At 51.9% G+C, this 15,070-nt stretch overlaps 1 protein-coding gene across 2 annotated transcripts in view, besides 6 other annotated features; it reads left to right on the forward strand.

Annotated features, from left to right (window-relative positions):
• Positions 1–1,212: part of a meiotic recombination region, noted in NCBI's record as "meiotic double-strand break mapped by DNA meiotic recombinase 1 chromatin immunoprecipitation followed by single-stranded DNA enrichment and sequencing in the germ cells of some male individuals with the PRDM9 A/A, PRDM9 A/B and PRDM9 A/C genotypes", that runs on past the window's edge. NCBI's record gives the evidence for it as "EXISTENCE:chromatin immunoprecipitation-seq evidence [ECO:0000229][PMID:25395542]".
• Positions 1–1,627: part of a mitotic recombination region, noted in NCBI's record as "BCR-ABL major-breakpoint cluster ALL sub-region recombines with the ABL major-breakpoint recombination ALL sub-region within the ABL breakpoint recombination region, producing e13a2 and e14a2 transcripts", that runs on past the window's edge. NCBI's record gives the evidence for it as "EXISTENCE:nucleotide sequencing assay evidence [ECO:0000219][PMID:20703256]".
• Positions 1–1,888: part of a mitotic recombination region, noted in NCBI's record as "BCR-ABL major-breakpoint cluster CML sub-region recombines with the ABL major-breakpoint recombination CML sub-region within the ABL breakpoint recombination region, producing e13a2 and e14a2 transcripts", that runs on past the window's edge. NCBI's record gives the evidence for it as "EXISTENCE:nucleotide sequencing assay evidence [ECO:0000219][PMID:20703256]".
• Positions 1–1,979: part of a biological region, named in NCBI's record as "BCR-ABL major-breakpoint cluster region", that runs on past the window's edge. NCBI's record gives its function as "recombination_partner: LOC107980440".
• Positions 1–15,070, forward strand: part of BCR (BCR activator of RhoGEF and GTPase) — a 137,529-nt gene that overhangs the window by 110,139 nt on the left and 12,320 nt on the right. The window contains exons 15-16 of one of the 2 annotated variants that reach the window (NM_004327.4): positions 1,894–1,991; positions 4,377–4,508. In NM_004327.4, the coding sequence (NP_004318.3) occupies positions 1,894–1,991; positions 4,377–4,508 (230 nt within the window). The remainder of the gene's footprint in view (positions 1–1,893; positions 1,992–4,376; positions 4,509–15,070) is intronic. The other variant, NM_021574.3, reaches the window with a different exon arrangement.
• Positions 1,586–1,765: an enhancer, noted in NCBI's record as "active region_18755". NCBI's record gives its function as "activates an Ori minimal core promoter by ATAC-STARR-seq in GM12878 lymphoblastoid cells {active_cell/tissue: GM12878}" and the evidence as "EXISTENCE:reporter gene assay evidence [ECO:0000049][PMID:35858748]".
• Position 1,979: a mitotic recombination region, noted in NCBI's record as "BCR e15a2 breakpoint recombination sub-region recombines with the ABL e15a2 breakpoint recombination sub-region within the ABL breakpoint recombination region, producing the e15a2 transcript". NCBI's record gives the evidence for it as "EXISTENCE:nucleotide sequencing assay evidence [ECO:0000219][PMID:11392325]".

Here is a 15,070-nt window from a genome sequence, read left to right on the forward strand (position 1 = left end):
GTGAGCTGCCCCCTGCAGGTGGATCGAGTAATTGCAGGGGTTTGGCAAGGACTTTGACAGACATCCCCAGGGGTGCCCGGGAGTGTGGGGTCCAAGCCAGGAGGGCTGTCAGCAGTGCACCTTCACCCCACAGCAGAGCAGATTTGGCTGCTCTGTCGAGCTGGATGGATACTACTTTTTTTTTCCTTTCCCTCTAAGTGGGGGTCTCCCCCAGCTACTGGAGCTGTCAGAACAGTGAAGGCTGGTAACACATGAGTTGCACTGTGTAAGTTTCTCGAGGCCGGGCGCAGTGGCTCATGCCTGTAATCCCAGCACTTTGGGAGGCTGAGGCAGGTGGATCGCTTGAGCTCAGGAGTTGGAGACCAGCCTGACCAACATGGTGAAACCCTGTGTCTACTAAAAATACAAAGATTAGCCGGGCTAGGCAGTGGGCACCTGTAATCACAACTGCTTGGGAGGCTGAGGGAAGAGAATCGCTTGAACCCAGGAGGCGGAGGTTGCAGTGAGCCGAGCTTGTGCCACTGCATTCCAGCCTGGGCGACAGAGCAAGACTCCGCCTCAAAAAAAAAAAAAAAAAGTTCCTAGAAACAGCAAAATGTGGAGACAGAAAGCTTACCAGGGATTGTTGGGGAATGGGGTTGGGAGAGAGGACTAACTGCAGATGAACCCAAGGGGGACTTTTTAGGTGAGAGCAGTGTCGTGAAAAGACTGTGGTGCTGTTTGCGCTCACATTTACATTTCCTAAAATTCTTTAAACCCTACACTTGGAATGGATGAATTACATGACATGCAGATTGCACCTTCATAACATAATCTTTCTCCTGGGCCCCTGTCTCTGGCTGCCTCATAAACGCTGGTGTTTCCCTCGTGGGCCTCCCTGCATCCCTGCATCTCCTCCCGGGTCCTGTCTGTGAGCAATACAGCGTGACACCCTACGCTGCCCCGTGGTCCCGGGCTTGTCTCTCCTTGCCTCCCTGTTACCTTTCTTTCTATCTCTTCCTTGCCCCGTGCACTCAACCTTGCATCCCCAAACCAAACCTATTATTCATGGACCCCAAACTTGTTCCTCTTATGTCCTGTCCCTTTGAGGGGCACCACCATCCACCCGCATGGCCAAGCCAGAAACCGTGGTCTGCTCTCCCTCCGTTAAATGCCATTCTCCATCAGTGAGGCTTCTTAGTCATCTCTGGCTGCCTGGCCAGGCCCTGGCTGTGGCCTCCTCCCTGGTCTTTGTAGCTCTGGATATCCCTGCAGAAAGGGTCCCCACTACCAGGCCTCTCCATCCCCAGTCTCAGGTAGTTTTTCTAAAATGCAAACCCCACCCTGCAACTTACCGCCCACAGCCCAGCCCACTCTTCTCCAGGCCTCGCCTCCCTCCCTTCCCCCTGCACCCCACGACTTCTCCAGCACTGAGCTGCTTCCTGTGCCCCACAGTGGCCTGGAGTCCCCTTTGCCTTAACTCTTTGCCCCATAGTACAGCGGGGTCTGCTCTGATTGTAGGGGCTTCCCACATCCCCCAGGATGGCTGCCCTCTGCTGTGGCATCACTGTGTAACAATGGCGTGTACACCTCTCTGTCCCCACCAGTGCAGGGCCCTTCTCATCGTAGGGGCTTTAGCTGGGGTTTGTGGATCGACTGAGTGAACGAATGTTGTGGGAAGTCCCGTTTCCCAGCCGCACCCAGGGAAATTCCACAGAGCGGGCAGGGGCATCGCATGAGGTGCTGGTGTTCACGCCAGACCACAATTAGGTGTTTAATTTTTAAAAAGAAAGTTACAACCTTTTTTTTTTATTTTTATTTTTTCTGATTCTGCAAATAACACCTGCTCTTACAGACCATGTGGGTGATGTGGAAAAGACCTGTGACCTTCTCCATGTCCACTTCTCCCCACAGATCTGTACTGCACCCTGGAGGTGGATTCCTTTGGGTATTTTGTGAATAAAGCAAAGACGCGCGTCTACAGGGACACAGCTGAGCCAAACTGGAACGAGGTGAGGAACTGATTCCACAAGGGCCCAGCCTGCCAGGTGGGGCACAGGATATTTTCCACTGGAGATAATCTAAACCTTCAGGGGCTCCCTGAGGGCTTCCCCCGAAGGCAGTGCTGCTGAATTCCAGGAATCTCCTGGGGGGCCAGTAGGTGACGTGTCCAAGAGATTTTATCTCCTTGTTCCTGAAAACCTTACCCATCCCTGTCATCACAAAGAAGCCACCTATTTTGCTGGAGAAGTGTTTGGAAAGAGACTTAAAAAGGCTTTTTGTCTGCCTTTGTTAGCGCTTATGTTTACTTGGTAGGTTTCCATAGTGTTTTTCCGCAGAAGTTGGAATGAGCTCCCGTGACCCTCTTGGCTTCCGGAAGCCTGGGGCTCTGCTGGTGGGGCTGGGACAGGGACTGTAGGGTCCTGCTTGCTTGTCTCGGGGTGTTGGGTTTGTATTGTGTGTCGCCGTGCCTTCCTCCACCTTGGAGAGCTGCTGTGTGAGTCACTTAGCCATTTGGCCCTGCACCTTCGGGAGTAGGGGAATGATTGCAGAGAGGCCCGTATTGACTAAGTCCCAGATCCATGAGAGGTGCCATTTCCCAGCTTCTGCAGCAGCTGTGACCTCGAAGGTCTCATTCTTGATGCTGCAGGTAGAGGCCAGCTGGGCCTGCAGAGAGCTGCCTCCCACCCCTGCTCCTGCGAAGGAGGAAGCCAAGAGCCCCCAGGCTGCTTGGTCTACACGGGTCACGAGGCTGGTGGATGGAGCAGTGGGGCTGGAACCCAGGTCTCCTTTCTCAGCATCCACTACTCTTTGATCATTTTAGACATGTTGCTTGAATAGTACAAGGGCACAAGGAGCTCAGTAAAATAACCTGGTCATTGTAGCTCTGGACATCCCTGCAGAAAGGGCTGAGTGGCAGCTGTGATGAGAGGGGGTATAAGAGCCACAGGGGATCCATCGAAGAAGCCTTTGCAGAGACCAAGAGTGCCACGACCCAGCAGAGACAACAAGAGAGGGTGCCAGGCAGTGTGCAAAAGGTTCAGGTGCCAGGCAGCCACGGAAGCTCCGGGGAGGCATGAAGACATGAGGGTTAGATTGTAGCAGGTCACGTCCACCACCCTCACTGTCCATGAAGATCTGGACTTGGGGACACTCACATGTTCCTGGCGCACACACACACCCACCCCCTCCCCTATTCAGGTTCAGAAATTCCTGCTGCTTGCTTCTTCCCGCACCCTCCTCCATTTCCCCGCCAAGAAGCCATGCGCGCACACGCCTCGGTGTGAAGCGCAGATTCACCAACAGCACCGTCAGGGTGATGGAGGAGAGAGTTAACACCACGCACCCACGGCAGACAACTGGAGAGCTCGGGGAGCAGTTTTTCCTCCAAGTCCCTCTCCCTCCTGTATCAACCCCAAGGATCACTCTTTTGTTTCCTTTTAGATATAATTCATTTTTTAAAGAGCGGTTTTAGGTTTGCAGCAAAATGGAGCAGAAAGAACAGAGTTCCCATGTACCTCCTGCCCCCCATCTCAATTATGGACATCCCACTCCAGGGTGGGACATGAGTTACAGTTGATGAGCCTGCATTAACCCATCATTACCACCCAGAGTTCATAGTTGATGTTAGGTAGGGTTCATTCTTGGTGTTACACATGTTATGTGTTCTGACAAACGTGGAATGACGTGTATCCACCATAATAATATCTTACAGAATAGTCTCACCGCCATAAAAGTGAACCTGCATCGACAGATCATTATCTTTCAGAGTCCATAGAAATATCTTTTTTTGAGGGAGAGTCTCACACTGTTGGCCAGCCTGGAATGCAGTGGCATGATCTTGGCTTACTGCAGCCTCCGCCTCCCGGATTCAAGCAATTCTCGTGCCTCAGCCTTACAAGTAGCTGGGATCACAGGCATGCACCACCACGCCATACTATTTTTCGTATTTTTAGTAGGATGGGGTTTCGCCATGTTGGCTAGTTAGTCTCGTACTCCTGGTCTCAAGTGATCTGCCCACCTTGGCCTCCCAAAGTACTGGGATTACAGGTGTGAGCCACCGTGCCCAGCCCATAGAAATATCTTAACAAGTACCCTGGCGATTGTGAGGCAGGTGGTGTGGGGATCACCCTTTGAGATGCTGGTGTAAGGAGTTTGGATTAAGTTTGAAAGGCAGTCGGAGCTTCTGGAAGCATCCGGGCTGGGCCACGGTCTCATGCCAGGGGTGCTTACAAGGAATACTTCCATGTGTCCCAGGACTAAGGGAGGAGGGTCTCAGGCATTGGTCCCTCTGGGCCAGCAAGGGCAGCAGGGAGAGCCCCGGTTCAGAGGACCCTTCAGCCATAACATTGACCCGTTTGTTCACACTGGACTTCCCTTCTCCCTTGGGGCTGCAGGAATTTGAGATAGAGCTGGAGGGCTCCCAGACCCTGAGGATACTGTGCTATGAAAAGTGTTACAACAAGACGAAGATCCCCAAGGAGGACGGCGAGAGCACGGACAGACTCATGGGGAAGGGCCAGGTCCAGGTGAGGCAGCCATCCCTACCCTCCCCTGCCCGATGCATGGCGTCCTTTTTCATGCAGCCCCTGGGGACACTGAGATGGTCATGGCCTTGCACCCAGGGTGGGGTGGGGTGGGCAGCTGTGGCTCTGAAACATCCATCGTGGGAGACCTGAGCCGGTGCCTGCATGTATCTTGATGGGTCTTGACGTACCACCCTCTGTCTGCGTGTCTGTTGCGTCGGCTCATTCCCAAAGGAATTTCCATTCAACTTGGTTTTGCAGCTGGGGCCTCAGTTCCTGCCCGGCCTTAGGAGAACCCAAGGTGGAACAGTTAGATGGTGTCCTAGGCTGAAATTGGCCCATCCTGTGCCAGTCTTCTTAGAAAAGCACAGGGGTCCCAGAGGCTGCCTGCAAGCACAGGGGTCCCAGAGGCTGCCTGCTTGGCATCCCCTATCTGTGGTCTAGACCCAATTTCTAGGGTATAGAGCTGTATCTCTGAACAGGGTGCACACAGACAGGTCTCCTCCCAGGCTAATCTGGAAGCCCCCAGGTGAGACCGAGAATGTGTCCATACAGGACCAGCAAGGGGGCCCTGGTTCTTAAGGAGACTGCCTGGGCCCTCTGTCCTTCAGAAGCTTGTCTAGCCCCTGGGAGCACGCCACCAGGGTTTCCTGGAGGATCATAGCTGGCGCCCCAGGCCCTGTTTATCCTGTTCCCACCCTCACAATTGCGCGGGGGTAGCTGAGAGGAAGCCCTGATCGTGCTTTCCTTATAGTGCATTATATCAGTGGGTTGTGGGTACAGCTCTCTCTTCCCAGGACCTTCCATCTTCACAAGAGGCCTCTAGAGGGAGTGGGTTTGGCTTTCCACATGCCCCTAGAAGCACAGGGCTCCTCAGGAAGCCCAGTCTCCCTCCCTAAGCAGGAAGTAAAAATCCTCTTGTGGTTAAATACCAAGTGCCAGGCTGGGCGTGGTGCTCACGCCTGTAATCCCAGCACTTTGGGAGGCCGAGGTGGGCGGATCACGAGGTCAGGAGATCGAGACCATCCTGGCTAACACCGTGAAACCCCGTCTCTACTAAAAATACAAAAAATTAGCCAGGCGTGGTGGCGGGTGCCTGTAGTCCCAGCTACTCGGGAGGCCGAGGCAGGAGAATGGCATGAACCTGGGAGGCGGAGCTTGCAATGAGTCAAGATCACACCGCTGATCTCTAGCCTGGGTGACAGAGCGAGAGTCCGTCTCAAAAAAAAAAAAAAAAAAAAAAATACCAAGTGCCAGGAAGAATGAAGGGAGAGGGTGGCTCTTCCCTGAGTCACCTGTCATCTTTGCTGATGGATCCCACATTCTCATTCAGATCAGCAAATCTTTACCAAGTGCTGGCCTCACCCCCTTCTGCCACCCTGGCCTGGCTGGCCACATCTTCGGAGGTGCAGCTACTGCCTGTTTTTCTGCCTTGGAAGCTTATAAGGGAACTCAGTGGCTCAGAGCCTCCTGGGGCTCCCTATACTTTGAGATCAGGTTTAAAAGCAAAAAGACTCCTCTGGCACATGCCTGTATTCCAGCTACTCAGGACGCTGAAGCGAGAGGATTGCTTGAGCCCAGCTATTCAAGACCAGCCTGGGCAACATAGACCCCTGTCTAAAACAAAATAAATTAACTAAAAATTGCTCTCAGCTCTCCTGTCGCTGTCCCACTGCACTGTCTTGTTCACTCTGCCAGCCTTTGTGTGGATTCTCATGGTGGGAGATTGTACCACACAGATGGGCCACACCACTCTTGATGGAGTACTTAGTGCTGGTCTCCTTTGAGATCCGAAGTATTTTAGCATCAGTCAAATGACGGTCATAGTTTGGGTGATGGTCACGGCTCAGGTTCTTTTTTACACGTGCTTGCTTTGGTTGTTGTTGTTGTTCTTTGTTTTCTTGAGGCAGTATCTGGCTGTGTCTCCCAGGCTGGCGTGCAATGGCAGGATCATAGCTCACTGCAACCTCAAACTCCTGGCTGAAGCAATCTTTGTGCCCTAGCCTCCCAAGTTGTTGGGATTACAGTCGTGCCCCACCATGCCTGGCTAAGTTGTTTTTTGTTTTTTGTTTTTTTTTTTTTTTTCGAGACAGAGTTTTGCTCTTGTTGCCCAGGCCGGAGTGCAGTGGTGTGATCTTGGCTCTCTGCAACCTCCCGGGTTCAAGCGATTCTCCTGCCTCAGCCTCCCAAAGTGATGGGATTACAGGCCTGAGCCACTGTGCCTGGCCACATGTGCTTTCCCATTCGGTCCTTGCAGCAGATCTTTGAGAGAGCTCATTTGACACTCAGGAGATGCTTCTCTAACCTGCTCAGAATCAGGGCCCTGGGTATTCAGGGAGGTAGAGGGAGCAGACTGCAAAGCCAGTCGTGCTCCCATCGCTCCCACTTCTCTCTCCCTCTCCATGTTTTCTGTCTCCCCCACCCAGCCTAGGGCATTCCTCCCCCACAGTCCAGCCTGCATCTGGCACAGTGTCACTGCTCAGCCCAGGGATACTCACAGCCTGGGTGCCTGGCTCCTTTTTTCAGCTCATCAAACCAGGTAAAGGGAGGTTCAGATTCTGCCAACCATTGACTCAATTCATCCAAATCTTCAATCACTGGAATCCTGGGAGTGGCTGGATTTGAACCAGGACCTCTGAGTACTATTGCTAAGTAACTGGGGGTCTCAGTGAAAGAGAGAAAAGAGCTGATAGGCCTCTTCCTGTGTTATCATGTCAGGCCATCTTTTGAAACTCTTTTCTGCAATGCTACTGAAGTATTTATGCACGTGACCTGTGCTCTTCTGTCAGTCTAGGGGTGCTGGCTGAGCACCCCACCCCATCCCGGGGAAGAGGAGAGCAGTAAGTGTCGAAGAAAAACCCGAGCTGGACAGCAGTTAAAGTGGTAAAAGCAGGTTTTGTTTAGTAACTATTGTGATAGGGAAAAGACTAGAAATGGAAGGCCTAGAAATGGGCTCAATGCTGAAGTCACTTGGATGAGTGGGGACTTGCAGCCAAGAAGCAGGGTAGGGGTTGATGGATGGAAAATGATGAAGTAACATCAGGGGGAAGAGGGATTCTGGTGAAACCGACCCGACAGGATTCTTGCTGAAGACAGGCCAAAGTGATCGATCTCCCCCGGGGGATGGCGTGGGGTGAGGAATCTGATCAGATAGCAAGGGCAGGGGGTTCTGGCTAAACGGACTTAGCAGGATTCTTGCAAAATTTGGGCTCCTGAGAACATGCCCAAGGATGGGATCTAGCTGGAATAAAAAGCTGGAGGGACCAGATGAGTTCCGTCAAGGAGAGTCTTTGTCACACCCCCACCACACTCAGTGTGACCTGGGTGAATTACTGTCCCACTGGCCCAAATGTGTTTCCTCACTTTTCCTTCCCTTCCTTCCTTCCCTTCCTTCCCTTCCTTCCTTTTCTTTCTTTCTTCCTTTCCTTTTTCCTTTTTCCTTTCCTTTTGCCTTTCCTTCTTCTTCGGAGTCTCACTGTCTTGCCCAGGCTGGAGTGCAGCGGTGCCATCTCAGCTTACTGCAACCTCTGCCTCCCGGGTTCAAGCGATTCTGCTGCCGCAGCCTCCTGAATAGCTGTTATTACAGGCATGTGCCACCACGCCTGGCTAATTTTTTTGTATTTTTAGTAGAGACGGGGTTTCACCATGTTGGCCAGGCTGGTCTCGAACTCCTGACCTCCAGTGGTCCACCCGCCTTGGCCTCCCAAAGTGCTGGGATTATAGGCGTGAGCTACTGCACCCAGCCTCCTCACCTTTAAATCTTCCCCAAATATTTGTTCAAAACAAACATCACTCATTTTGTGTTCCTGCTGCAACAGACCCCCTGGGGCCTGCCCCTCTCCAAGGCTGTTTTTTGTTTTTTGAGACAGAGTCTGGCTCTGTCGCCCAGGCTGGAGTGCAGTGGCATGATCTCGGCTCACTGCAAGCTCCGCCTCCTGGGTTCACGCCATTCTCCTGCCTCAGCCTCCCGAGTAGCCGGGACTACAGGCGCCCGCCACCACACCCAGCTAATTTCTTGTATTTTTAGTAGAGATGGGGTTTCACCGTGGTCTCGATCTCCTGACCTCATGATCCGCCCTCCTCAGCCTCCCAAAGTGCTGGGATTACAGGCGTGAGCCACCACGCCTAGCTCCAAGACTGTTTAGGGGCTACGTAAGTTTCTCTCCTATGGGCGCCTCTGCCACATGGACCATGTCTCATTCGTCTCGGAATGCCCCCCAGGCACATCACAGACCCCCCTGCACGGGTGAATGGCTGTGTGGACGAGACCTACATGGCCCTGAGATAATCCTTGAAATACAAATGAGGATTCTCGATGCCTTCGTGGCCTTACCTGACCATACCTCCCCCAACTCCCATCACGTCCCCCGTGACGTGATCTTTATTTTGGCTTATGTTTGTCTCTGCTGCTGGAAAGTAAACGTGGAGGACAGGGCTTTGTCCAGTTCATTCTCTGTGGTATCTCCAGTATCCAGACAGAGACATAAAACATACATCTGTATCTGTAAGTTATTTAATACATTGTTTAATGGATCTAGAGTTTATATATATATATATATATATATAGTAAAATATATATTGGCACAAAGCAAGTACTGTTACATGCACTGGAAATTGCTGAGCCAGGCACCTGCCCTCTCACAGATGAAGGTGCTGAAGTTCCCAGGGGTGGCTGGGGCGGGAGCCAGCCAAGCCTGGGGCTTCTCCACCACGCTGTGCATGTGCCCAGTGGTGGTCGGGGCCTTCATGGTGAGGGGGTCGGGGAGTTCAGAGTTTGGACTCCCACGTGCATCCCTGCACCATGGGCAGCCTTTTTATCTTAGCCAGAAGGCTGAGAAGTAATTCCTTCCTTTTTAAAAAAATTGTAAAATAAGCACAATGTAAAATGTCCCAGGTGTTTTTAAGTGTGCAGTTCAGTGGCATCAGGCACATTCACATTGTTGTGCAGCCATCACCACCATCATCTCCAGAACTTTTTTTTCATCCTCTCAAACTGAAACTCTACACCCATTAAACAATAACTCCCAGGGGGGCAGGTGCAAAAAGAATAACTCCCCATTCCTCCTGCCCCCAGCTCCTGTTAACCTCTAGTCCACTTTCTGCCTCTGTGGATTTGCCTACTCTAGCTACCTCATGTAAGTGGAATCATACAGCATTTGTCTTTTGGGTCTGGTTTATTTCACTTAGCAGCATGTCCTCAAGGCTCACCCATGTTGTAGAATGTGTCAGAATGTCCTTCCTCTTGAAGGCTGAGTAATATTCCATTGTATGGATTAACAGACATTCACCAGCAGGTGGACGCCTGGGTTCTTTCCAGTCTGAGGCTGGCATGGTCAGTGCTGTTGTGCACATGGACATAAGATCCACCCAACTTGGTGTTATCTTTGCATTCGCAAGCTGTTGCCAGGCACATCCATGGGCTCTCGGGGGGAACAGCTGCTGCAGAGTGGGCAGTCCAACAGGGAGACCGCCCGAAAATGGGTGGACCTCACTGCGTGGTGGGGACTTGAGAGCAGCTGCCAGGGTGCCACCAGGAGGGCCCCAGTCAGACCTGCTGGCTTGTACCTGGTCAGGTGCCCACATAACCCAGGCTGGCAGAGAAGTCTGGGAAACTCCAGCCAGCCAGCCAGAGCACCAGCTTCAAATGAAGCAGAGGCTCACAGTCCAAATCTCATCCCCGAGGCTCACATAAAACATTGGCAACAACAAAAATGAACTCTGATGCCCCCACTGGAACATGAGTTGTGAGCCCAGCAAGACACATAAATAGAGCAGGAGAAATGGGAGAAGACAAAAGTCTATGACTTGATAGAATGTTGCCCTCTAAGGAGAATAGACAGGGCTAACATGATTTAGCAACCTAGAAAATTTGCAGATGAAGAGAGATGCACCTGTCATCCTAGCACTTTGTGAGGCTGAGGAGGGCGGATCATTTGACATCAGGAGTTCAAGACCGGCCTGACCAACATGGTGAAACCCCGTCTCTACTAAAAACACAAAAAAATTAGCCAGGCGCGATGGCGCATGCCTGTAGTCCCAGCTACTCGGGAAGCCAAGGTAGGAGAATTGCTTGAACCAGGGAGGCAGGGATTTCAGTGAGCCAGGGTCGTGCCACTGCACTCCAGCCTGGGGGACAGAGCGAGACTATCTCAAAAAAGACAGAAAAAACCTGAAGAAATTCCTAATGGCAGCAAGGCTCCAATTTCCCCAGCTCTGCCAACTGTGGTGACTCCCTCTCTGGCCCAGGATGTGCAGGAGCACTGGGACTGTGTCTCAGGGCCCCCGTCCCTGTTGCGCTGCACTCGGCTAGGCTGCAGACTAGCCCTCCAGCAATGTGTCCCATACCCCGTCCCATGAATCTTGGATGGATGTTGATGCCTTCACCTTGAAAAATCCCTCCCTGAAGATACAGATTCAATGTCCCCTGCTCTGTGAAGGCTTCTCTGTCCCGTGACCTCACTTCCCAAGTAACCGTGCCATCTGAGCCACCAGTCAATCTGGGCCAAAGCCTGCCCTGGCTCTTGGCACATTTGCCACATCCTTCCTTTCCAGCTTCTCTGATCTAGACCATGAAGGCTGGGGAGAGGGGTCTTCTTGTTCTTGGGGACCCCCCCGCCAGGCATGGCACACAGGAAGCCTTCCATGACTAGGGTGGCACAGCGGGTTCCTGGTGTCTGAGGATGGACCAGGATGGCCTCGCTCACTCAAATGGCTCATTCAGGCTCGGGGCTGGCTTGGAAGGGACACCCGACTTGGGTCCTCTTGCACCTGCCCACACACAAGGACTTCAATTTGTGCTGTCAGTGGCTCTTTTCTGGACTGTGGGCACCACCACAGCTTTGTCCCTGCTGTACTGTGTATCCCCTTGCCTTTCTGGCTTGTGGCTCTGAACAAAGCAGGTCACCCATCCCAATTTCTAGAGCCCCCCCACCGCCACCCCCACCCTCATGGAGCCTCTATCGTGCAAGAAGGGAGGTGGGGACCTGGCAAGTCATCCAGGACAGGCATTTGAAGAGCAGGAGCCAAAATCTGAGACTCGGGCAAGTGGTTCCTAAACCCAGCTCATCAGCACCATTAAGGGGAGCAAAAAACCAGACCGGGCCAAGCCCCCAGCCCAGAAGATCCCGACTCCTGCTGCCCACAGACAGGCACATGAGCAGCTTTGCTGAGGACTCCTTTCCATCCCAGACCCCTGCCCTTGGGGCCTGCCAGGGACCTCTGCCCTCATGGTTGGATCTGGACACTCCCGGGATGCTGCGGCTTCTCTACCTGCTGCAACTGCCTCACCTCACGGGAGGGTCTCTCTACGCAACTTCTGAGTCGAGGTGCATAAGCAGTGTGGGGGCTGTAGGCCCCTGTAGCTGGCTGCAGAGAGCCAAGCGCCTCCCACACGGTACAGCACAGAAGGCTCCTGGTGTCACTGGGAAAAGCCCAGATTCAAAAAGGCTGGGCTCCGGAGTCATGCACATCCTCTCTCAGGTATCCCTGTGCAGAAAACAGTGTCCACGGGGGAGAAAGAGGCCAGGCTGGTGTCGCAGAGCGCCAATGGCATAGTCACCACCACTCCTCCGACTTACTTCCTCCTGGGATCCCACAAACAAGCCCCCCAGCTGGGAGCCTGGACCTCCAGGGACCAGGGCAGCCGCCACCTACTTGGCGTGAGTCATGAATGCCCTTCACACAGCAATCAGATTCCTTCCTGTCTAGCCATGGTTCCCACCCATCACTCCCACTGACACAGGGACCAGGGGCTGGAGCCAGATAGTGCCTGCTCCATCGCCTCCTCACAAACGACAGATAAGGATGAGAACAGCAGCAAACGCTGACCCCCCACCCGTGAGAGCATAAGTCACTCAACCGTCAAGGCTGCATGGCCCCCCCCACCCCAATTTAATTCACCTGTGAGAGGGCAAGTGCCTGGCTCAGCAATTTCTAGTGCATGTAACAGTACTTGCTTTGTGCCAATATGTATTTTACTATATATATATAAACTCTAGATCCATTAAACAATGTATTATTACATAACTTATAGAGGTATGTTTTATGTCTCTGTCTGGGTACTGGAGATACCACAGAGAATGAACTGGACAAAGCCCTGTCCTCCACGTTTACTTTCCAGCAGCAGAGACAAACATAAGCCAAAATAAAGATCACGTCACAGGGGACGTGATGGGAGTCGGAGGAGGTATGGTCAGGTAAGGCGGATACCGTCATGAAGGCACCAAGAATCCTCATTTGTATTTCAAGGATTATCTGAGGGCCACGTAGGTCTTGTCCACACAGCCATTCACCCATTCAGGGGGGTCTCTGATGTGCCTGGGGGGCATTCCGAGATGAATGAGACATGCATGGTCCATGTGGCAGAGGCACCAATAGGAGAGAAACTTATGTATGTAGCCTCTTAAACAGACTTGGAGAGGGGCAGGCCCCAGGGGGTCTCTTGCAGCAGGAACACAAAATGAGTGATGTTTGTTTTGAACCAATATTTGGGGAAGATATGAAGATGTAAACATCATGAAAATGTAAGATCACATGAGCAAATTCTTACACAGATTCCACGGGATTCTTCTTGAAGCACACCGCCATCAACATGGATAGTGATACAGGTCCTCCTTGCTCTATTGAGAGCCACTTTTGGACCCTTTATTTTTAACTTTTGTACCATGAAATGCATCCATTTTTATAACCGAATGATTTTATAGTAAATTTACAGAGCTGTACAACTTTTACCAACAATCCAGTTTTAGAATATTTCTATCACCCCAATTTCCTTGTTGCCTTTTTTTTTTTTTTTTTTTTTAAGACAGGGTCTTGCTCTGTTGCCCAGGTTGGAGTACAGTGGTGCAACCACACTCAGCACAACCTTGATGTCCCAGGCTCAAGTGCTCTTCCTACCTTAGCCTCTCAAGTAGCTGGGACCACAGGCATGCGCCACCATGCCAGGCTATTTTTTTTTTTTTTTTTTTTTTTTGAGACAAGGTCTTGTTTTGCTGCCCAAGCTGGTCTCAAATTCCTAGGCTCAAGTGATCCTCCTGCCTTGGCCTCCCAAAGTGCTGAGATTACAGGTGTGAACCACCGTGCCCAGCCCCTGTTCCCAGTTATAGCCACTCCCAGACCCAAGCCGATCTGCTTTTTGTCTTTAGAGATTTGCCCATTCTTCACATTTCATAAACGTGGAATCATACTAGAGTGGGCTTTTTTGACTGATTTCCTCCACTTACCATTATGTTTTTGAGGTTTATTCATGTGGTAGCATTGTTTGGTTCCTTTTTATGATAATAATTTTCCATTGCATACATATAACATGTTTTTATTTCTGCATTTACTATTTGACAGACACTTGGATCATTTCTAGTTTGGGCTGTTAAGGTTGATGCAGCCACGAACATGTCCTTGGTACCAGTCTCTATATGGACGTATGTTTTCATTCACTGAGTAAACACCTAGTAAGATTGCTGGGCTGTGCAACAAGGTGACTATTTGGGGAACTGCCCTACGTTGTCTGGAGTAGCTGCACCATCTTACATCCCCAGTGGCCATGTATGAAAGCCCATTTCTCTACATCCTCACCGATGCTGGTTATAGTGTATCCTAAGGGAGAAGGGTGTGTTCCTTTTGAAGTGATGTTAGAGACTGGTTGGGATCAGAGAAGAGAAGCAAAGAGTTAAAAGTGGGATAGAGGCCAGGCGCGGTGGCTTACGCCTGTAATCCCAGCACTTTAGGAGGCCAAGTTGGGTGGATTGCTTTAGGTCAGGAGTTCAAGACCAGCCTGACCAACATGGTGAAACCTCGTCTCTACTAAAAATACAAAAATTAACCGGGCATGGTGGCAGGTGCCTGTAATCCCAGCTCCTCAGGGGCTGAGGCAAGAGAATGGTTTGAAGCCAGGAGGCAGAGGTTGCAGTCAGCCGAGATCTCGCCACTGCACTCCAGCCTGGGCAACAGAGTGAGACTCCGCCTTAAAAAAAAAAAAAAAAAGGTGCAGGATGGATCTCAGGAGAGCAGATTGTGGTCATAGACTACAGCAGGAGGCCTGTAATCTCTCTCCTGGTGAACACAGAGGTTCTCTGGTGGTCTCAGCAAAGACCCACCCCCGGGAGTAGGTTATAGTGCAGACACATGGGGCCCAGACAGGAACAACTGGGGTTGCCCTGCTGGACCATCCAGGCTGGTGACGATGGGCGTGAAGGAAGCTGTTGTCTACAAGGAGCTAAGTGAACAAGCATTTCCTCCTTTGGAAGGTTTACTCATAGCCCCCTCCCTGCCCCTGCTGAGGGTGGGTGAGAGGATGTCCTCCGGCTGCCCATTGGTGACTCAATCCAGCCACACTGACTACAAAGCAAGCAGGGCAGTGCTGGGCCCCCAGCAGAGCCACCATGCAAAGTGGTCAGTGATGCTTCAGGGCAGCACACAGCACCTGCCCCAGTTGGGCTTCGGCCTCCCTCAGCCCCCACCCCACCACTTCCCTGGGATGGATGTGCACGATAGTTTTCTAGGCAGACCTCTAGGCCACCATCTGCCAGGCCCGCTGACCATAGTCATTCTTTCAAGGCTCCTGCCTTACC

Source organism: Homo sapiens, chromosome 22 (assembly GCF_000001405.40).
Source record: "Homo sapiens chromosome 22, GRCh38.p14 Primary Assembly".
Lineage (NCBI taxonomy): Eukaryota > Metazoa > Chordata > Mammalia > Primates > Hominidae > Homo > Homo sapiens.